The sequence below is a fragment of the Homo sapiens genome, chromosome 16 (genome assembly GCF_000001405.40).
Source record: "Homo sapiens chromosome 16, GRCh38.p14 Primary Assembly".
Lineage (NCBI taxonomy): Eukaryota > Metazoa > Chordata > Mammalia > Primates > Hominidae > Homo > Homo sapiens.
Window position 1 is genome coordinate 19,535,372 of NC_000016.10, and position 21,935 is coordinate 19,557,306.

The 21,935-nt window shown below is 39.6% G+C and overlaps 2 protein-coding genes across 19 annotated transcripts in view, besides 4 other annotated features; both read left to right on the forward strand.

Moving 5' to 3' along the window:
• CCP110 (centriolar coiled-coil protein 110) overlaps nucleotides 1-18,037 on the forward strand; it is a 29,467-nt gene extending 11,430 nt beyond the window's left edge. For 5 of the 12 annotated variants that reach the window (XM_017023908.2, XM_011545991.3, XM_011545992.3 and 2 more), the window contains 12 exons: nucleotides 569-2,216; nucleotides 5,286-5,416; nucleotides 6,516-6,693; nucleotides 7,250-7,389; nucleotides 7,507-7,623; nucleotides 9,426-9,527; nucleotides 9,723-9,839; nucleotides 10,446-10,519; nucleotides 11,041-11,103; nucleotides 12,584-12,643; nucleotides 13,144-13,229; nucleotides 15,825-18,037. In XM_017023908.2, coding sequence (XP_016879397.1) covers nucleotides 569-2,216; nucleotides 5,286-5,416; nucleotides 6,516-6,693; nucleotides 7,250-7,389; nucleotides 7,507-7,623; nucleotides 9,426-9,527; nucleotides 9,723-9,839; nucleotides 10,446-10,519; nucleotides 11,041-11,103; nucleotides 12,584-12,643; nucleotides 13,144-13,229; nucleotides 15,825-15,877 — 2,769 coding nt within the window. In that variant the 3' untranslated portion in view covers nucleotides 15,878-18,037. The remainder of the gene's footprint in view (nucleotides 1-568; nucleotides 2,217-5,285; nucleotides 5,417-6,515; nucleotides 6,694-7,249; nucleotides 7,390-7,506; nucleotides 7,624-9,425; nucleotides 9,528-9,722; nucleotides 9,840-10,445; nucleotides 10,520-11,040; nucleotides 11,104-12,583; nucleotides 12,644-13,143; nucleotides 13,230-15,824) is intronic. The other 7 variants (NM_001323570.2, NM_001323571.2, NM_014711.6 and 4 more) reach the window with 2 other exon arrangements.
• Nucleotides 19,927-20,406: an enhancer, noted in NCBI's record as "active region_10532". NCBI's record gives its function as "activates an Ori minimal core promoter by ATAC-STARR-seq in GM12878 lymphoblastoid cells {active_cell/tissue: GM12878}" and the evidence as "EXISTENCE:reporter gene assay evidence [ECO:0000049][PMID:35858748]".
• Nucleotides 19,927-21,016: a biological region, named in NCBI's record as "NANOG-H3K27ac-H3K4me1 hESC enhancer GRCh37_chr16:19566659-19567621".
• Nucleotides 19,966-20,928: an enhancer, noted in NCBI's record as "NANOG-H3K27ac-H3K4me1 hESC enhancer chr16:19566659-19567621 (GRCh37/hg19 assembly coordinates)". NCBI's record gives its function as "activates a minimal SCP1, AML or CMV promoter by ChIP-STARR-seq in primed H9 embryonic stem cells {active_cell/tissue: H9 hESC(primed)}" and the evidence as "EXISTENCE:reporter gene assay evidence [ECO:0000049][PMID:30033119]".
• The window catches only part of VPS35L (VPS35 endosomal protein sorting factor like), a 145,461-nt gene continuing 143,857 nt past the window's right edge, over nucleotides 20,332-21,935 (forward strand). For all 7 annotated transcript variants that reach the window (NR_158161.2, NR_158160.2, NM_001365295.2 and 4 more), the window contains exon 1: nucleotides 20,332-20,375. Coding sequence is in view for 4 of the 7 variants with exons in the window: in NM_020314.7 (NP_064710.5) it covers nucleotides 20,359-20,375 (17 nt within the window). In the remaining 3 variants the exon portion in view is untranslated. The remainder of the gene's footprint in view (nucleotides 20,376-21,935) is intronic.
• Nucleotides 20,787-21,016: an enhancer, noted in NCBI's record as "active region_10533". NCBI's record gives its function as "activates an Ori minimal core promoter by ATAC-STARR-seq in GM12878 lymphoblastoid cells {active_cell/tissue: GM12878}" and the evidence as "EXISTENCE:reporter gene assay evidence [ECO:0000049][PMID:35858748]".

The following is a 21,935-nucleotide window of genomic DNA, read 5'->3' on the forward strand; positions in this document are numbered from 1 at the left end:
AGTTTAGTTAAACTTTGGAGTAAGCATGTAGGTGCAGGAGTCTTATTACTGAATCATTTTTGCTTAATCAATGTCCTGGACAAGTTAGTCTTTGTTAGAGAGGGAATCGTTTACGTAAGACATTTCATTACTTGCTGTTTATTGCATATATTATTATCCTTGGATGATAGCTATCCTAGGAGGAACAGTTGGTAATGTTAATAACATATGACTAGAAGAAATTTAAGTGCTTGTATTCTAAGATTAAATTGCACATGGATATATGAATATATGTGTGTGTGTATACACATATATATGTTCATATTTGTATCAGATTAGATGTTTCTTTTTATAACTCTTTTATAACTCTTTTAATAACTTAGGCAGGATGACCAGTAGGCATCTTTTCAATAATAATTTGAGCCCCCTGTGATACAGGATACCGTAGAAACCTGTCATCTTAGTTTTTCTTTATGTTTTGAAATGTCAGAATTCTGAATTTTCAATTTCAATTTTATTTTAGAAAACAGTGAAATCAGAGACTTTTTGTGCAATGAGGAAATATTAATTTTTAAATTTCCTGTTTCAGGTTAGAAAAGCACCTAATGCCAGTGATTTTGATCAGTGGGAGATGGAAACAGTTTACTCTAATTCAGAAGTCAGAAACTTGAATGTTCCTGCTACATTTCCAAATAGCTTTCCAAGCCATACGGAACACTCTACTGCAGCAAAGCTTGATAAGATAGCTGGGATTTTGCCATTGGATAATGAGGACCAATGTAAAACTGATGGAATAGACTTAGCTAGAGATTCAGAAGGATTTAATTCTCCGAAGCAATGTGATAGTTCCAATATTAGTCATGTAGAAAATGAAGCTTTTCCAAAGACCTCTTCAGCAACCCCACAAGAAACTCTTATTTCTGATGGTCCCTTCTCAGTAAATGAACAACAGGATCTACCACTTTTGGCAGAAGTCATCCCAGATCCCTATGTAATGAGTCTTCAGAATCTGATGAAAAAGTCAAAGGAATATATAGAAAGAGAACAATCTAGACGCAGTCTGAGAGGTAGTATCAACAGAATTGTTAATGAGAGTCATTTAGACAAAGAACATGATGCTGTTGAAGTGGCTGACTGTGTAAAAGAGAAAGGCCAGTTGACAGGCAAACACTGTGTCTCAGTTATTCCTGACAAACCAAGCCTTAATAAATCAAATGTTCTTCTCCAAGGTGCTTCCACTCAAGCAAGCAGCATGAGTATGCCAGTTTTAGCTAGCTTTTCGAAAGTGGACATACCTATACGAACTGGCCATCCCACTGTTCTAGAGTCTAATTCTGATTTTAAAGTTATTCCCACTTTTGTTACCGAAAATAATGTTATCAAAAGTCTTACAGGTTCATATGCCAAATTACCTAGTCCAGAGCCAAGTATGAGTCCTAAAATGCACCGAAGACGTTCCAGGACATCATCAGCGTGTCATATACTTATAAATAACCCAATAAATGCCTGTGAATTAAGCCCTAAAGGAAAAGAACAGGCAATGGACTTAATTATTCAAGATACTGATGAAAACACAAATGTGCCCGAAATTATGCCAAAGTTACCAACTGATTTAGCGGGAGTTTGTTCAAGCAAGGTTTATGTGGGCAAAAATACATCTGAAGTCAAAGAAGATGTGGTTTTAGGTAAATCAAATCAGGTATGTCAATCTTCAGGAAATCATTTAGAAAATAAAGTTACTCATGGACTTGTTACTGTGGAAGGTCAGTTAACATCCGATGAGAGAGGCGCACACATAATGAACAGTACCTGTGCTGCGATGCCAAAGCTGCATGAACCATATGCCAGCAGTCAGTGTATAGCAAGTCCAAACTTTGGAACTGTGAGTGGACTCAAGCCAGCCAGTATGTTAGAGAAAAACTGCAGTTTGCAAACAGAACTGAATAAGTCTTATGATGTAAAAAACCCTTCTCCTTTATTGATGCAAAACCAGAATACGAGACAGCAGATGGACACACCTATGGTGTCCTGTGGAAATGAACAATTTTTGGATAACAGTTTTGAGAAAGTTAAACGGAGACTTGATTTAGATATTGATGGTTTGCAAAAAGAAAACTGCCCTTATGTCATAACAAGTGGAATAACTGAACAAGAAAGGCAACATTTGCCAGAAAAAAGATACCCTAAGGGATCTGGCTTCGTTAACAAGAATAAAATGTTAGGAACTAGTTCCAAAGGTAAGGAATCTTTGAAGCGTTTGATACCTTCTATGCAGATACCTTTATTTTAATACTCTTAATTGACATTTTTGGGAAAAAAGTGGTCTTTATTCATATGGGCACTTAATTTTATTTATCTTATTAGAAAGCATATTAGTCAGCTACAGTTTATTGCCATTTGATAGGCTTTCTTAAAGATTTTCTTGAGACAAGGTCTGGCTCTATCACCCCAGTTTGGAGTGAAGTGGCATGACTTCAGCTCACTACAACCTCCGCCTCCTGGGCTCAAGCCATCCTCCCACCTCATCCTCCCAAGTAGCTGGGACTACAGGCTCATGCCACCATGCCCGGCTAATTTTTGTATTTTTTGTACTGTAGAGATGGAGTTTCTGGCATGTTGCCCAAGCTGGTCTCAAACTCATGAGCTTGAGTGAGCCTCCCGTCTCAGCCTCCCAAAGCTGTGGGATTACAGGCGTGAGCCACGACACCCAGCCAGGATTTTCTTTTTTGAGACAGTCTGGCACTGTTGCCCAGGCTGGAGTGCAGTGGCACAACCTTGGCTAACTGCAACCTCCACCTCCCGGTTCAGGCAATTCTCATGCCTCAGCGTCCTGAGTAGCTGGGATTACAGGCGTGAGCCATCATGCCTGGATGGATCTTCTTATTTAAATGATGAAGCTTTCATAGTCCACTTGGTATTATTGAGAATATTAATAATTGGAGGAAACAGTTCTTTTTTTTTTTTTTTTTTTTTTTTTTTTGAGACAGTCTTGCTCTGTCGCCAGGCTGGAGTGCAGTGGCGGGTTCTCACCTCACTGCAACCTCTGCTTCCTGGGTTCAATTGATTTTCGTGCCTCAGCCTCCAGAGTAGCTGGGATTACAGGTGCTTACCACCTGGCCCAGCTAATTTTTATATTTTTAGTAGAGATGTGGTTTTGCCATGTTGGCCAGGCTGCTCTCAAGCTCCTGGCCTCAAGCGATCCACCCGCCTCAGCCTCCCAAAGTGCTGGAATTACAGGCATGAGCCACCGCACCCAGCCCCAAACAGTCTTGCCTGAAACATCACTTACAGTTTTAATTCACTGTATTGCTATGAGGTCTTTCTTTTGGACTATAGTTTCTAATGTTTATTTCAGTTTGCTTTTTCATTTGTAGTATGAGCTTCGTGTAATTGGTCCTTCAGTAAACACTTTAACATCAAATTATTAGACAAAGTATCAGAAATAAGGCTCTGAGTAGGTGGTTCAAGAACGGTTCTTTAGGCCGGCGCGGTTGCTTACGCCTGTAATCCCAGCACTTTGGGAGGCCGAGGTGGGTGGATCACTTGAGGTCAGGAGTTCGAGACCAAACTGACAAACATGGCGAAACCCCGTCTCTACTAAAAATACAAAAATTAGCTGGGCGTAGTGGTGCACATCTTTAATCCCAGCTACTTGGGAGGCTGAGGCAGGAGAATTGGATGAACCCAGGAGGCGGAGGTTGCAGTGAGCCGAGATTGCACCATTGCACTCCAGCCTGGGTGACAGAGCCAGATTCCATCTCAAAAAAAAAAAATAATAATAATAAAGGTTCTTAATTAATAAAAATTATTATTTCAGTTTTTTCTGTTGTATCCATTAACAGCAATTTATTAAAGCACGTTTTTCTCCTTCATTACCCCTTACTTTGTTGTCATTGTTGATAATTCTTTATTACTGATATAGAAGACATACAAATCAAGTAAGTTAAGCTCTTAGGGCTTATGGGAAATACAGGGTTGGGTCAGACTGCTTAAAACCTGTGCAACTTTTTTTTTTTTTAATTTTTTTTTTTTGAGACAGGGTCTTGCTCCGTCACCCAGGCTAGATTGCTGTGGTGCGATCTCAGTTCACTGTAGGCCTGGGTTCAAGCGATTCTCCTGCCTCAGCCTTCCAAGTAGCTGAGATTTACAGGCATGCGCCACCACGCCCAGCTGTTATATTTTTTGTGGAGACAGGGTTTCACCATGTTGGCCAGGCTGGTCTCGAACTCCTAGGCTCAGGTGATCAGCCCTCCTTGGCCTCCCAAAGTGCTGGGATTACAGGTTTGAGCCACCAGCCCTGGCCCATCCTGTGCAACTTTATAAGAGCTCTAATAAAAACAACCACTGTTACCTGGGGAGCCAACTTGGATCCTCCAAGTAGATAGCATAGCAAGGCAAGAGGCTGCCTCAGTGAATATCAGAAGTACATAAGACCAACAGAGTGGAAATTTCTTTTTTTTTTTTTTGAGATGGAGTTTCACTCTTGTTGCCCAGGCTGGAGTGCAATGGTGCGATCTCAGCTCACTGCAACCTCCGCCTCCCAGGTTCAAGCGATTCTCCTGCTTCAGCCTCCCAAGTAGCTGAGATTACAGGCATGCGCTTGTATTTTTTCAGTAGAGATTCGGTTTCACCATGTTGGTCATGCTGGTCTCGAACTCCTGACCTCAAGTGATCCACCTGCCTTGGCCTCCCAAAGTACTGGGATTACAGACGTGAGCCACCACACCTGGCCCATACTTGGTATTTGTACATTTCAACATGTCTTACCACATTCTATTTAGGAAGCTTGTATTGTCATAATGTTTTCTCTTAGTTAGTAACTAAATATCTGGAATTTTAACGTCCAGTCCTTTTTGAAACCTCAAGCTGAGAAAGCTTTATACCATCAAGGAAACACTTTCTTTGAAAATCAAAACAAGGCAAAACTACAAGCTACACTACCAGAGATCCTGGAGGACAAGTGTCAAAAAAACAAATGATGGTAGGATGCAGTTGAGGACCACATCTGAAAGTTAAGTAGAGTCAGGAGAATCTTGTCTGAATATATAGTCCTGGGTCTGTCATTTCAGATCAGGATGGGATCTGTTGAATGAGTGGGTAAAGGTGATGCAATACAGGTCTTACTTTATTGAGTAGCATGAAATAAAAGGAGTGTGGTTCGAAGTAGAGACCCAGCTATATCTTGATTGTATTATGTCAGATCCAGGAATACTCTCTTGTCAGAAGGATAATTTAAATTGATGGTATAAAATATCAGACATTAGACTTGTGAATTTTCTAAATTGAGGAAACATGTTTCTTTTCAGAAAGCGAGGAGTTACTAAAAAGCAAGATGTTAGCTTTTGAAGAAATGCGGAAGAGACTAGAAGAACAGCACGCCCAGCAATTATCACTACTCATAGCTGAGCAGGAAAGGGAACAAGAAAGACTGCAAAAGGTGAGGAATGTGGAGGGAGATACAACTGGTAAGTGAAATTTAGCCAAGGATACCTATGAATTTTGGTCATGTATAGAATACGTGTAATTTTTGCCTCCATATATCTTAAGGTAAGGGAGTCATTTTGATACGTGAATGGTATTTTTTGTCAAAATATGAATTTTGATATTTAGATCCTTATCTAAAAGTAATTGCATAATTTATCGAGAATATTTTATTGAATCCTTGATTTAAAGCTTAATATTTTAAAAAGGTATTTTATAAATAGGTGCTAAAGTACACATTCTGCAGGAGTTGTATCATAAAAATGACACTCATGCTGGGCGTGGTATCATGAGCCTGTAGTCCCAGCTATGCAGGAGGCTGAGGTGGGAGGATTGCTTGAGCCCAGAAATTCAAGGCTGCAGTGAGCTATGATTTCGCCTTTGTCTAGCCACTGCACTCCAGCCTGGGCAACAGAGGGAGACCCTGTCTCTATAAAAAGAAAAAAAAAAAGAACGACACTTGTTATAATATTATTATAATTAATAATTTAACTATACATTATCACATATTAAATTATAGCCTGGGCGTGGTGGCTCACGCCTGTAATCCCAGCACTTTGGGAGGCCGAGGTGGATGGATCACCTGAGGTCAGGAGTTTGAGACCAGCCTGGCCAACATATAGTGAAATCCCATCTCTACTAAAAAATACAAAATGGTGGTGTATGGACCTGTAGTCCCAGCTACTTGGGAAACTGAGGCAGGAGAATCACTTGAACCCGCAAGGTGGAGATTGCAGTGAACCGAGATCGTGCCACTGCACTCCAGCCTGGGGGACAGAGCGAGATTCTGTTTCTTGAAACAAGAAAGAGAGAGAGAGGAGAGAGAGAGAGAGAGAGAGAGAGAGAGAGAGAAAGGAAGGAAGGAAAGAAAAGAAAAGAGGGAGGGAGGGAAGGGAAGGGAAGGGAGAAGGAAGGAAGGATAATTTGAGGAAGAAAAACTTGAAATAAATAATAATTGCTGATAATTACATGTACTTTTGGCTAAGCCTAAAATGATATCATTTTGGGACATAATTAAAAGGTTTAGCATGTTACAATAAACTGTTCATGTATAGGAAATAGAAGAGCAGGAGAAAATGTTAAAAGAGAAGAAGGCAATGACAGCGGAAGCCTCTGAGTTGGACATTAACAATGCAGTGGAATTAGAATGGAGAAAAATAAGTGACTCTAGTTTGCTGGAAACAATGCTGTCTCAAGCGGACTCACTCCATACTTCAAATTCAAATAGTTCTGGTAAATATTTAAAAATCCTTTTACATTTGGGAAAGTGATCCTACGGTAAGATATTTATTTGGCACACTATAAGATTATATCTCCTGTTTTCAAATGATTCCATGTCCAACCCTCTTTGCCAGCTGCTTAGTAACCAGTGAAAAATGACATGATAGGAGATCAAAGACTTGTGAGCAGATGTTTGTGAACAAAGATTACCTTTGCCAGGAAAAGATCAGGAAATTTGGCTTAGAGCCCAGTCTGATCATTCATGCAGCAGGTGATATACTTCAAGTGAAAACAGTTTGCTCTCTCCTGAGTGATCTTGAATTACCTCTAATTCCCTAGTCCCTTTAAATAGCTTATCTTCATATCTCAATTATCCTGAGATGCTGTTTGTGTTGAAAAGATCCACCTGGTATGTAAGCTTTAAAGTCCATAAATATTTTAAGTCGGCAGGTAGGTCATTTTTGGAGGCAGTTGTTATTCTTAATGAGTGTCACAAGTGTTTATTGGGATGTTCTTCGTATTCTAATTATATGACATCAAGTATAATACTATATGTATGTTTCTCTAGGTTTCACAAATTCTGCCATGCAATATAGCTTTGTTTCTGCAAACGAAGCACCATTCTACCTCTGGGGATCATCAACTAGTGGCTTGACCAAACTCTCAGTAACAAGGCCTTTTGGAAGAGCCAAAACTAGATGGTCTCAAGTGGGTAAACTTAATGATACATGTCCATCTATCTATTTATCTTTTCTTAAGAGCTATATTATCTTAGACTGTATAAATGAACACCAATAAACATTGTGTCTGTCTTCTTTCTCCTAGGTTTTTAGTCTGGAAATACAAGCAAAATTTAACAAAATAACTGCAGTGGCAAAAGGATTTCTTACTCGTAGACTTATGCAGACAGATAAGCTGAAGCAACTTCGACAAACTGTAAAAGTAAGATTCCTGTAAATCGTTTGTATTTCACTTCTGTCTTAGTTTCTATCAGTCTTGTGACAGCTGAGCTAACAGATTAGTTCAGAACTTAAACGCTTTTTAGTCACTGTAATCTAGGCAGTTTTAGAAGTCTGATTGTTTGTTGCGGGAAGTCAGGGACCCCGAATGGAGGGACCAGCTGGAGCCGCAGCAAAGGAATATAAATTGTGAAGATTTCATTTTAATATGGACATATATCAGTTCCCAAATAACACTTTTATAATTTCTTACTCCTGTCTTTACTTCAATTGCTGAACATAAATTGTGAAGATTTCATTTTAATATGGACATTTATCAGTTCCCAAAATTAATACTTTTATAATTTCTTATGCCTGTCTTTAATCTCTTAATCCTGTTATCTTCATAAGCTGAGGATGTAGGTCACCTCAGGACCACTATTGTGTTAACTCTACAAATTGATTGCAAAACATGTGTGTTTGAACAATAGGAAATCAGTGCAACTTGAAAAAGAACAGAATAACAGCGTTTTTCAGGGAACAAGGGAAGACAACCATAACTGACTGCCTGCGAGGTCGGGCAAAATAGAGCCATATTTTTCGTCTTGCAGAGAGCCTATAAACGGACGTGCAAGTAGGGAAGATATTGCTAAATTCTTTTCCTAGCAAGGAATATTAATAATTAATACCCTGGGGAAGGAATGCATCCCTGGGGGGAGGTATATAAACGGCCACTCTGGGAGTATCTGTCTTATGCGGTTGAGATAAGGACTAAAATATGCCCTGGTCTCCTGCAGTACCCTCAGGCTTACTAGGATTGGGAAATTCCACCCTGGTAAATTTGTGGTCGGACCAGTTCTCTGCTCTCAAACCCTGTTTCCTTTTAAGATGTTTATCAAGACAATACGTGCACAGCTGAACATAGACCCTTATCAGTAGTTCTGATTTTGCCCTTGTCCTGTTTCCTCAGAAGCATGTGATCTTTGTTCTCCTTTTTGCCCTTTGAAGCATGTGATCTTTGTGACCTACTCCCTGTTCTTGCACCCCCTCCCCTTTTGAAATCCTTAATGAAACTTGCTGGCTTTAAGGCTCAGGTGGGCATCATGGTCCTACCAATATGTGATGTCCCCCTCGGACGCCCAGCAGTAAAATTCCTCTCTTTGTACTCTTTCTCTTTATTTCTCATCTGGCTGACACTTATGAAAAATAGAAAGAACCTATGTTGAAATATTGGGGGCTGGTCCCCCCAATAATCGTTAATCTTTCTCAGATAATATTATGAATAACATGTAAATGAAGCAGTTTGTGTGTTTTTGACTTGCTTGAAAGTGAGTGGTTTGACTTCTGATAAGTAATAGTTTTATTTATGTTCTTAGTACAGTCGGTCCTCTATCTCTGGGTTCCACATCTGTGGATTCAACGAACCATGGATCAAAAATAATTCAGAAAAAACAAATGATGGTTGTGTCTGTACTGAACATGTACAAATTTTTTTTCCTTGTCATTATTTCCTAAACAATATAACAACTATTTACATAGCATGTACATTTATTAGGTATTTTAACTAATCTAGAGATGATTTAAAGTATATGGGAGATGTGCTTAGGTTATATGCAGATAACTATTTTATATAAGGGACTCCAGCATCCTTGGATTTTGGTATCTGAGGGATTCATGGAACCAGTCCCCCACAGATACTGACGAAAGACTGTAATTTTGGATTGACTGAGAAAAAGAAAAAAGCAAACTCCAGTGATCACAAATCTTTCTAGAAAAATGTTTTTGAAGGAGCATTTCTTTTTTCAGGATACTATGGAATTCATAAGAAGTTTTCAGTCAGAAGCACCATTAAAGAGAGGCATTGTTTCAGCTCAAGATGCTTCACTTCAGGAAAGAGTGTTAGCTCAGGTAAATACATGGATCCTGAAGGCTTTTAAGACATGGACATATTATATTTCTCCTTTTTTATTTAATCACTGAAAATAGGTTTCAATGAAAACTATTTTAATCTTTTTCTATAAATAAGTGTACATGGTATATAGTATTCCTGAACTCTAACCTCATCTTTTAAATGTATACAATATTTTCTTCTCTTGTGCCTAGTTGCGAGCTGCCTTGTACGGTATTCATGACATATTCTTTGTAATGGATGCAGCTGAAAGAATGTCTATTCTACATCATGATCGAGAAGTTCGCAAAGAGAAAATGCTCAGGCAAATGGTATGTTATATGATTTCTAATGAATAGAGTTCTTCTGGGTTTAGGGTAATTGATACTAAATGTCAGTTTTGGTTGACTTCAGCACCCTTCTTCTGATAATTCTTAAGCACAAGTAATTCCTGGAATTACTAGCAGCATTTAAATCTGTAGACAGATTTAAAAGAATTACATCATTTAAGAATTACATATTGTTTTCTTATTGGATTTTAGAGTTGAAGCTTTGAATGTTTTGCTCAGATGGCTTATACAATCTATCAGCTGCTCCTGATTGAATTTCCTTGAATTCAATTATAATGTGGGTTTTGCTTTTTTTGAAATCTGAGTTAGAAAACAGGCTCCAAGTTAATTTGAAGTATATCAGAGTATGTGATTTGAATCAGTTATCTTAGTGTGATTGGCAAAGGAAAAGCAAGCAAAATTTACATAATTCTAATTATTTAATTCTTAGAATTAGACTGCTTCAAAAATACAAAACAAGATGATTTAACTAAATTAAAAATGTTAGTAGAGAGAAGCTTTTCCAGGCAATGTGGGATTATAATACATTATAATATAGTGGTATTAATTGGTTCCAGTAGAGTTTGACGTTACTTTTGTATATTAAAGGATAAAATGAAAAGTCCACGAGTGGCTCTTTCAGCTGCAACACAGAAGTCTCTTGATAGGAAGAAATACATGAAGTAAGTTTTTTGTATCATGTCATGTTAGTTATCAAACCAATTAATTTTAGTCATCTGTTGGTCTATTTGCATATTTAAATTTAGAAATAAAGAGTTAATTTTTCTGCAGTTGAGCTGATAGAAATCCCCTTTATATAAAGAAATTTATTAAAATCAGGTGCTAAAATCTCATTTCATCTTAGATGAATTTATTTACTAAATTTGACAACATTCAACTCATATAACTGATAGCTGGTTAATCTTAAAAACAGTTAATCTTTATATTCAGTGCCTAAATATATTCCTTTTCTGATGTCCTAAAGGTTTCTTGGGAATAAAGACTTAATGGGAAAAATATCTTAATAACTTTTTTAAAAAATTCTTCTTTCTTGAATGCAGTCTTTAATATGCTTAGTACAGGTCTTCCAGTAGTACACCAGCTTCTAAATGATGATTTGTTTCTGTCATCCTGTATTACATTTGTAAGCATGTTTTCTTCCCTTCTCTAAATACATTATGTCCTTATTTTTATATTGTGTTAGAGCTGCTGAAATGGGAATGCCAAATAAGAAATTTCTGGTTAAACAAAATCCTTCTGAAACAAGGTGAGAAAAATCACTTAGTCTTAATGAGAGGCTTTTTGTTTTTTATAGAAAAAAAAAATTGGCTGGGCACGGTGGCTCACGCCTGTAATCCCAGAACTTTGGGAGGCCAAGACGGATGGATCACCTGAGGTCGGGAGTTTGAGACCAGCCTGACCAACATGGAAAACCCCATCTCTACTAAAAATACAAAATTAGCTGGGTGTGGTGGCACATGCCTGTAATCCCAGCTACTCAAGAGGCTGAGGCAGGAGAATCGCTTGAACCCGGGAGGCAGAGGTTGCAGTGAGCCAAGATTGCTCCATTGCACTCCAGCCTGGGCAACAAGAGTGAAACTCTATCTCAAAAAAAAAAAAAAAAAAAGTTAAAAAATTAAAATTTAAATCCCAAACTTCATTTTTGTTGACTTTGTTCTACTTGACATCAGTAGAGCACTTCTTGCTGAATTGGGTCGGGGGTCGTCCTCAGGCTCAAGATTCATACCAATACCTGGCCATATACCTAGTCACATGTCAGACCAGATGTGCCCGGACCTTTTGTAGGACATGCTATCTGTGGTAGAAATTTTGAGCGTGGTATGTCTTGAGTTCAGTTAGACAGTCCAGAGGATCTTTGATACTTATTTAAAAACCTTAGAAAGCTAATTTAAGCTGGGCTGGGAGCAGTGGCTCATGCTTGTTATCCTAGCAGTCTGGGAGGGTGAGGTGGGTGGATCACGAGGTCAGGAGTTCAAGACCAGCCTGGCCAAGATGGTGAAATCCTGTCTCTATTAAAAATACAAAAATAAAAGATACAAAAAGCCGGGTATGATGGCGCGTGCCTGCTCAGCTACTCAGGAGGCTGAGGCAGGAGAATTGTTTGAACCTGGGAGGCGGAGGTTGCAGTGAGCCGAGACTGCACCACTGTACTCCATCCTGGGCGACAGAGCAAGGGTCCGTCTCAAAAAAAAGCTAACTTAAGCTGGGCACAGTGGCATGCTCCTATGGTCCCAGGTACTCGGGAGGCTGAGGCAGGAGGATAGCTTAAGCCCAGAAATTCAAACCAGTATGGGTAACATAGTAAGACCCATCTCAAAAAAATAAATAAATAAAAAATAAAGCTAAAAAGCGAACTTTAATATTTCTGACCTGTTTTTTACTCCTGTAAAATGAGAGTGATACTTTCTTCTCTCACTGGTTTGAAGGGAAAAGTTAGCTTTTGTAAAGCATATGTATAAGAAAATTATCTAAAAGCACAAGGGTTAGTCTATATGTTGGACATTTCTTTGCTGATAAAAACCTAAGGTTTGGACTCTTAGTGAGCAAAATACAAGTATCATATTAATATGCTTTAGTCGATTTGCTCTGATTTGTGGTAATATATAGGCCATATTATTGCATAGTTGACCTTTACCTTACAGTCATCATCTTTCATCCGTTGAAAGAAAATGGGAAAAAATGGAATTTAACCTATTAAATTAATTTTTCATTTAATTTGTCAACAGAGTCCTTCAGCCAAACCAAGGACAGAATGCACCTGTTCATAGGCTACTTAGTAGACAAGGGTAAGAATGCCACACACGGGTATTGAAAACTACGGAAACCAAGATTAGATTTGAGAGGGAAAAATAAATCTAGTGTTCTTTATGTAAAGGATAATGGTTTTTCAATGGGATTTTTTTTCTTTATAGCATTGGGAAAGATATTTTAAAGTTTTGTCTTCAAATGTAACCCTCTTGGTGTACTGTTGTGTATTCTAATTACTGTCTTAAGTTGGGATGTTTTTACTTTTCATTTCATACCATTTTACTCATAAAGTATTTTAAATATCCATATAGTAAATTCAGCATCACCGAAGTGATTCTCCAACAGAGTATGACTCGTGCTTATAGTCTCCTGCTGAAGCCAGAGTTTAGCTTTCCTTACTGTGCGCATGCATGAGACTTCAGTTCTTTTCAAGCTTATTTGTGCTTTGGACAGTTGATGCAATGTGATTGCTTTCTTTGAATTTTGAACATTTAGACCTTAATGCCAGTGACTTATTAATTTTTTTATATTCAATTAGAACCCCTAAGACATCAGTGAAGGGGGTTGTGCAAAATAGACAGAAGCCTTCACAGAGCAGAGTGCCTAACAGAGTGCCTGTTTCAGGTTTGTAGAAAATAAATTCCTGAAGCCCATTCAATAGAAGGAAGTGCACAAGCTGCCCCATAACTCAGGCCATAGAAGTGGAATAGATTGTCTTTCCTTGCCACCATAATTTTGGCATATTCACAGTCATCTTATTAGTGTTCTTTGGTCTTAGCATTGTATGGCAGTCAGGAAGTCTTAGTAAAAGTGTGATTCCAGTCTTCATTTCTATAATATTTCTGTGGAAAGCACCTTGTATTTTTCATTCTGAAAAAATTGTAGAATTTGCCATGCTTAATTCAGAAAACCTTTTTATTTAATGAATAAAAGATAACGATCATCTCTGGTGCTAAGTCTGTGCATTGTCTGTTCAGCTTGGGGAAGTGTATCTGCACATAAGGGGATAAACTTTCTCCCTCAGACTATAAGATCACATGTGAATATGCCAGTGGGAGGAGGGCTTCATATTTTGCTCAGTCCAAAGCTTGAGCTAAATCTCTCCTTATGTTCATTATTTGAGGATTAAGAGCTAAACTAAAAACTGTATTTTAAAATTCTGTTTATGGTGGCAAGAAGACAAACTCATTCTTGAGCAAATTCAAAGCTCTTAACCAAATGCTTTAATATTTTTTAGGTATCTTTGTTAAGACACTTTGATTAAGCTCACTTAAAAATTATGTGATCCATTTAAAAATACTTTCCAAATGTTGTGCTTTAACTATACTGCTTTCTAGACATTTACAACAAACCTAAATTAATCACCAGGCATTGAAGATTAAACCTTTAATCAATTTTAATCTTTCCATTAATATACAATTAGGCAAATTTTAGAGCTTTATTACTAAGTGATTTCCTTCAAATTAGGAGGGAACAAGCTATTGGTCGTAACTTTGAAATGATGGCTGACCTTTTGTATGTATGTAGTGAAGGTAATTCATAGTGTCACACATATATAGGATAATTTAAAAGATCATCTTTGGAAATCATTGTGAGTGACAGTTAATGGAATTGTCTTAAAGGATTACATAGCTGAAGATACTGTTTACTCCAGAGGCAGTCAGAATAAGCTAGTTTGAAAGATAACCATTTGAAAGGACTCAGACCAAACACCAAACCTGTGGAATTTTAAGACATTTTCTGTTTTTCTCATGTTAGTATTCTATATTGCACTGAAACTTAGCAAGTTGGAAAATCATTGAGGAATTAGTATTGTTTTGCCTGATACCAATTTGCCACAGTGACTACTCTCCATGTTCTTTTCTCATGCATTTCATCTCCACTATTTGTCACTTGTGAACTTATAAGCAAAATAGCAAGTACTGTTTTTATTCAGCAATACTCAACAGTATAAAGGATGTATAGTCAGTCACTGAAGTTAGTAACATACAATGAAGTTCATTATTTTGAACTATTGAGGTTAAATTGCATTGCAACATACTTATTAATACAAATGAACTTAACCCTTGAATTAATATGTATCTAAACAAGTACAAAAGTCTGTTGCTGTTGTTTTCTAAAGATTTACTTATACATGAGTGCATATTTAGACAATTGAAAGAAACTAAATAATTGTGTTCTTTTTTTTTTTTTGAGACAGAGTCTTGTTCTGTTGCCCAGGCTGGAGTGCATTGGTGTGATCTTGGCTCACTGCAATCTCCACCTCCTGGGTTCAAGCCATTCTTCTGCCTGAGCCTCCCAAGTAGCTGGAATTACAGGCGCGTGCCACCATGCCCAGCTAATTTATTGTATTTTTAGTAGAGATGGGGTTTTACCATATTGGCCAGGCTAGTCTCGAACGCCTGACCTCAGGTGATCCGCCCACCTCGGCTTCCCAGAGCTCTGGGATTACAGGTGTAAGCCACCGCGTCCAGCCAGAATTGTATTCTTTTATATAAACTGAGAGTTTGGGATATTGGCTGGTTAAAATGCTAACTATGAATCTGAACACAGGAACTCACTGTCGCTCTTGAAAAGATTACTCTTTCCTGCTTAGAGTTTTAATGGTCTGAATTATGTTTTAAACAAATTTGAAATTATGTTCTGATTTGCTCTAAATGGAGGCAAATCCTTTGTTAAGCAATTTATAGAAAACTAACTTTTCTTATGATAGAATATCATACTCTTAGACTGAAGTAGAATTCTAAAATGTTAAAGTATGCTGCAAAGCATTTAGTTATTTATAGTTTTACAAACCTAAATTGCAATCTCTGATGTTATCGTAAGTGATCTTTGACTTACGGTTTTAAAACACATTTCTTCATTTGATGTTTTGTGCTTGACTAGAGTTTATATAGTGAAATTCAGAAACCACTAATCAAAGCAGAGTAGGAGGTGGTCATGCAAAATGGTTAAGTAAAATAACACATCAGGTGGACTTGGGTTATCAGAGTTCTTCCTTCTAGCTCTGTTCCTTAGGCAACTGCTCTCCTATGCCTCAGTTTTATTATCCTTAAAATGGTCATAACAATTTCTACCTCAGGATGATTCATATAAGGATTAAATATGATAATGTATATTGCCTAGCTCAGTGTTTGTTCCAGAGTAAAAACTCATTAAATGGTATCATTATAGAAAACCTCCCATTGAGAAGTAATACTGGTTTTGCTCTATTTTTAGGAGTATATGCAGGAAAAATCCAAAGAAAGCGGCCAAATGTTGCGACAATTTAAGAAGACAACATTCATTAGGATAAAATGGGGGGAAGGATTATTATTCATGTTATTTTCCCTGCCCAAGACTTTATTTAACCCTGGACTCCGTTTACACAGACAAAGTGACATCAGAAGGCTGAGCACTTATCTGGATCATTTGGTCAGTTTGGTAATTCCTGCTCCACACCCCTATTTTCCTCTTAATAATACGTTTGGGTGAAGACAAATTAGTGTTTAGTAATTGCATCATCTCTGTGCTTACCTATACAAACATAAGTTTATTTTATATGCCCAGATGTCTACAGAGACCCTTTTTGTAAATGTCAAGGACATTTGGATTTACTTTTACAGAATATTGAAAAGATAAGACAAATTATAAATAAGTTCTAAAACATAAATTTAATTCATCTCTGCATAGTGATTTTTGAATTTGATTCAAAGGGAAATTATTGCAGAAGAATGCCTTTCCCTCATTTTATAACTTTAAAAACTTGGATTAACCACTCAATGTCCACTTTCTTTGACTTACAGTATAACCATGTAGCCAATTGTGGCCCACTAAAATCTACAGAAGTTAATGTGGGTCACCATTTTGGTCAGAAGCATACATTCCTGTCAGACAACTAGTTGTCTGACAGAAATGTTAGGCTTCATGTATGTTACCCCAGTACTGTTAGAAACATTTGTACTAGGTTATAAGATCTTTCTGTGACAGGTAACAAATTTGGGGAAGACAGCACAATCTTCTTGAATGTAGCTCTTGGGAATGCATTATTACATCCATTTCTGTAACATAATAATATGTTGCATGCAGTTATATTTTCTATTTAGTCTGTATATTTTGTTCTTCATAGTCTGTTTTTTCTAGCATGCTTGATTTAGGAGAGAATAAAGGGCTATATAATAATAAATCCAGATTTCCGGATAAGAATATTGCCTGGTTAAAATTCTGCATTGCTTAAAGACACCCATGTTTAAGATTTTTCATCACTAACATATCCATTAAAAGTATCAACTGGCCAGGCAGGGTGGCTCACGCCTGTACTCCCAGCATTTTGTGAGGCCAAGGTGGGTGGATCACCTGAGGTCAGGAGTTTGAGACCAGCCTGACCAAACATGGCGAAACCCCATCTGTACTGAAAATACAAAAATTAGGCATGGTGGTGCATGCCTGTAGTTCCAGCTACTTGGGAGGCTGAGACAGGCGAATTGCTTGAACCTGGGAGGCAGAGGTTGCAGTGAGCTGAGACTGTGCCATTGCACTCCAGTCGGGTTAACAGAGCAAGACACTGTCTCAAAAAAAAAAAAAAAAAAAAGTATCAACCAACAAATGTTACCAAGATAACGTGACTTCATGAGGGAGAATGTCACTATTAATTTATCATACCATTTCCAAAAAGGGCTTTGTGCTTTTCACATAAAATTGAGACAGTGTATATTTAATCTAATTTAAATTTTAAAGAGATACTGGTATTTTGAAAATGCAACCTATATATATTCTTAATATCCTTTTAAGAATATGGAGATGAAGATTGTTTTCTCCAATTTTCTGTGCCATTTTAAATTTAACTTTGACATCCAGCTATAGACAGAAATAATAAGCCACCCTGGGTGTAAACTTGATTTTCTTTATTGAGATGTATCATGTATTGAATGAGTGAACCAGAAAATTAGAAGATGGTCAAAAAAAGTCCAAGTTACCAATTTTTTAAAATTTATAGGCAAAGTATCAAATTGTCTTCTTAATATGATAAACTGTGCTTTATCATTCTGAAAACTCAGGATACAGCTTATTCATAGCATTGTGGGTCTCTCCAGTAAGAAAGATGCTAAAAGTTTTGTGCACTTTTTGTGTGTGTAATGCAAATTAGTTAAAACAAATAGTTTTGGAGAAAGTTAAAACTAGCTTTAGAGTAAGGATGAGAAACTTGAGTGTTTTTAATTTAAAGATAAAAGCCTGTGTTTTACACATTCTTTTTTGGTGTTCATAGCTTCTTCTCATACAGGTGCCAGACACTGTTTGTGCTTTTGATGGATTTTTATTTATATACTTTTTTTGCTTATTTTTACTTTGAGTGGAATGTTCATTAATGTAAATTGTATTTATTTTTATACTTTTATTTTCACTAGTTTTGCTTCTAGGCAAAAAGCAAAATAAACTTTTCATCTTAAAGAAAATCTAGTTTGATTGTTTTTATTTACCAGGGGAAGGACTATTAAGAAATAGGCCGGGCATGGTGGCTCATGCCTGTAATTCTAGCACTTTGGGAGGCCAAGGTGGGTGGATCATGAGATCAGGAGTTTGAGATCAGCCTGGCTAACATGGTGAAACCCCGTCTCTACTAAAAATACAAAATTAGCTGGGCGTAGTGGTGCATGCCTGTAGTTCCAGCTACTTGGGAGGCTGAAGCAGGAGAATCGCCTGAGCCTGGGATGGGGAGGCTATAGTGAGCCGAGATTGTGCCACTGCACTGCAGCCTGGGTGACAGAGCAAGACTCCATCTCAAAACAAAACAAAAAAGAAACCGATATTAGCCAGGCATGGTGGTTCACATCTGTAGTCCTAGGTACGCTGGAGGCTGAGGCAGGAGGATCACTTGAACCCAGGAGTTACAGGTGGCAGTGAGCTATAATCGCACCACTGCACTCCAGCCTGAATGAGACTTTGTCTCCAAAACAAAAAAGAAAAAAGAAACAGATATTGAAAAGTATTAGGCCAAAACAAATATTGTATATAATCATTCTTTACAAGTTCCATGAAAGATATATCTCATTATTTAATATGTCCCCTGGGCCAGGTGCAGTGGCTCACGCCTGTAATCCCAACACTTTGGGAGGCCAAGGCGGGAGGATCACCTGAGGTCAGGAGTTTGAGACCAGCCTGGCCAACATAGTGAAACCCCGTCTCTACTAAAAGTTGGACTTTTCAGAAGGTAAAACTCAGGCTGGAAATGTCTTAACTTATTAAGAGATAGAAGCCTGCTAAGGGAAGGAGAGGGAGAAAAGAGAATGCGAAGGTTGAAGCTCACATCAAAGCTGTTAATTTGCACAACTTTAAGAATCCTCCTCTTGTTACTGCCTAATCATGCAGTGTGAGCCTAGGAAAAGGCTCCTCACCTTGACCTCTTATTGAGATGTTGCATGTGATAACATGCATGGCTGTATGGGAAGAGCTCCTTGCTTTCCCGTGGCCACCCTTTAACCCTTGTTCACTTCCAGTGTTGGGAATAGCAGGTACGAGTGGATATACTTTCCTACTCATACTGAGCTGAACACTGGAGGGCCCGTTCTGGAGATGATCCTTTTCCCTGTCATAGGTCACCATCTCATGAACAACCACAGACCACCACCCCCGAATGAAAAGTAAGAGTTATAAAAACATCGAATGCTTTCTCTCTAAGGGACCATAATGGATATCTAAGTAAGTTATAAAAGTAATAATTAAAAAAAAAATTTTTTTTTGAGATGGAGTTTCGCTCTTGTAGCCCAGGCTGGAGTGCAATGGCGCAATCTCGGCTCACTGCAACCTCATCCTCCCGGGTTGGAGCAATTCTCCTGCCTCAGCCTCCCGAGTAGCTGGGATTACAGGCGCCCGCCACCATACCCAACTAGTTTTTGTATTTTTTAGTAGAGACGGGGTTTCACCATGTTGGCCAGGCTGGTCCCGAACTCCTGACATCAGGTGAACCACCCACCTCGGCCTCCCGAAGTTCTGGGATCATAGGCCTGAGCCACCGCTCCCGGCCTAAAATAATTTTTAAAAACGTTCTGTGGTCGAAATGGATATCCACCTTCCTAGAAACACTGCTTTGCCAAGTTGGACGAAATGCGAACCCTAATTTCCCCACGTGCATTAGCTGTAGTCAATCATATTAGATCTAGGGCAGCCCTCGGTTGCTAGTCGTGGGAAGGGCATTCTGCAAGTGTCTAAAACCGCCCGCAAAGCAGTGGGTAAAGCAGCGGCCTAGAGGGGGCATGGCTGTCCCACGCCAAACAGCGTATTAGCCGCAAAACCAGGTACTGGCTGAACCTCAGTTTGCGTCTTCGCTCCGCCGCCTTCTGGAGTCCTTTCTGCCCCTAGAGGACGCAGGTGAGCTAAGCAGCAGTCATGCCCTTTACCATCATGACGCCCGCAGGCGGGACCACCCGGCACTGTAGACAGCTGCCCTTTACAATCATGACTCATAGAAACTACGGCACTCTGGCCGTGGCCGACGTTGCTCCTCCGAAGCATGGCGCCGGCGGGAGTTGTAACCCGGGCTGTCCGGAGCGGGGAGCTGCCCCTCACAAGCATGGCGTCAGCTGAAAATGAAGCCTGTGCTGTGCGGAGCGTCGCCTGCCCCTCACAAGCATGGCGTCTGCAGAAGGTGCTGTGCGGCCGCTGCGGGGCGGCCAGCTGCCCTTCACAAACATGGCGGCCGAGGGGTGCGGGGAGTGGCGGGGTAAGGATGGGAAGCCGAGCAGACGGCCCCAGAACAAGCGGTCATGTGACTGGGAAGATGGCCGTCTTTCCTTGGTAAGGAAGCAGCGGCGGGTGGGCTTTGGAGAGGGGCTGTCCTTACTTGTGATGGGGTCGGCCTGGGTCTGAGAGTGTGAATTCCTCTCTGTCGGGTTCTGGTGGTCGACCGGCCACCCCCAAGTTGTCTTGACCGTAGAATCCCTGGCCGCTACCGCGGTCCAGCGGAGCAATCTGAAGCCAGACTGGCGGGTTCTTGGTTCTCTCCCCGTCTGCTGCCTCTCTGCGCCTTCCACGGGCCCCTGTCCATTCATTCCCTAAAGAAAACTTGAGTTTCCAGGCTTCCGCGTCCCCAGAAGTTGGCGCGGGTTCTGGGGTCGCTGGATGAGGGTAATGGTGGACTCAGCTTTTAAAGTCTGGACGAGTCGGGAGATCTGGCTGTTGGTCAGTTTCCTCAGCTCCTCTGTTCACCTGGAGACTTGCTTTTCTCATCTGTAAAATGGCCGCCATTCATCCTATCCTAGGCACAGCCCTCAGACTTATTCCTTGGCCTCAAGGAGCTGACAGTATAATGGGGCAGACGCACAGTAGAGGGATGTCTAAAGAAGGCATTCGGATGAGGCACCAAGAAGGGAGTGATTATCCCCACCAGGGGGCTAGGGGAAGGCTTCAGAGAGGAGGAGTTAAATTGGGTCTTGGAGGATGAATAGGAGTCCACCATAGGGAGGGCGTGGCGTGTGCCTGGTTGGCAGGCCCGTAGGTCCCTTGTGGTTGGAGTAGCTAGGAATGAGTGACTGAAGCTTCAGGGTTCAGCAGGTGGTATGTGTGTGAGTGAAGAACTTGAGGAAGTTGTGTTGTTGATGATAGTGGGATTTGGGGACGGGGAATCTCTCCTGCATCTCAGAAAGCGAGATAATTTACTTTCTCTTCAAATGATGTGAAGTAGCTTAGATTAAATGAGCAAATGAAAGACCTTAGAAATAATCAGGTACAACCTTCTGCTTTTGAGCTTGATAAACACTTCATTTTGTCTTATTCCTTTCATTTGCCCAACACTTAAGAGACTGCTTCCTTGACACGCTACATCAGCATTGAATGCCTCTGAGCACTTCCACACCCTGAGGTTTTTTTTTTTTTTTCAGTTAATAGTCATGCTGGCTGGGTATGGTGGCTCACGCCTGTAATCCCAGCACTTTGGGAGGCCGAGGCTGGCGGATCACCTGAGGTCAGGGGTTCGAGACCAGCCTGGCCAACATGGCGAAACCTAATCTCTACTAAAAATACAAAAATTAGCTGGGCTAAATTAGTGGTGGCACGCACCTGTAATCCCAGCTACTTGGGAGGGTGAGGCAGGAGAGTCGCTTGAACCTGGGAGGCGGAAGCTGGAGTGAACCGAGATCATGCCACTGCACTCCAGCCTGGGCAACAGTGAGACTCTGTCTCAAAAAAATAATAATAAAAAATGAAAAAGTCATGCTGGCTTGACCAAAAAGCTAACCAAAAACATGAGAAACATTTGACTTCAGTGGATTTATCTGAAGTTTGCAATCAGAAAATCCAGGAAGATGCTGTCTTAATCTCTGCATCCCAGTACATTTCTACCTTTGGAATTTTAATTTT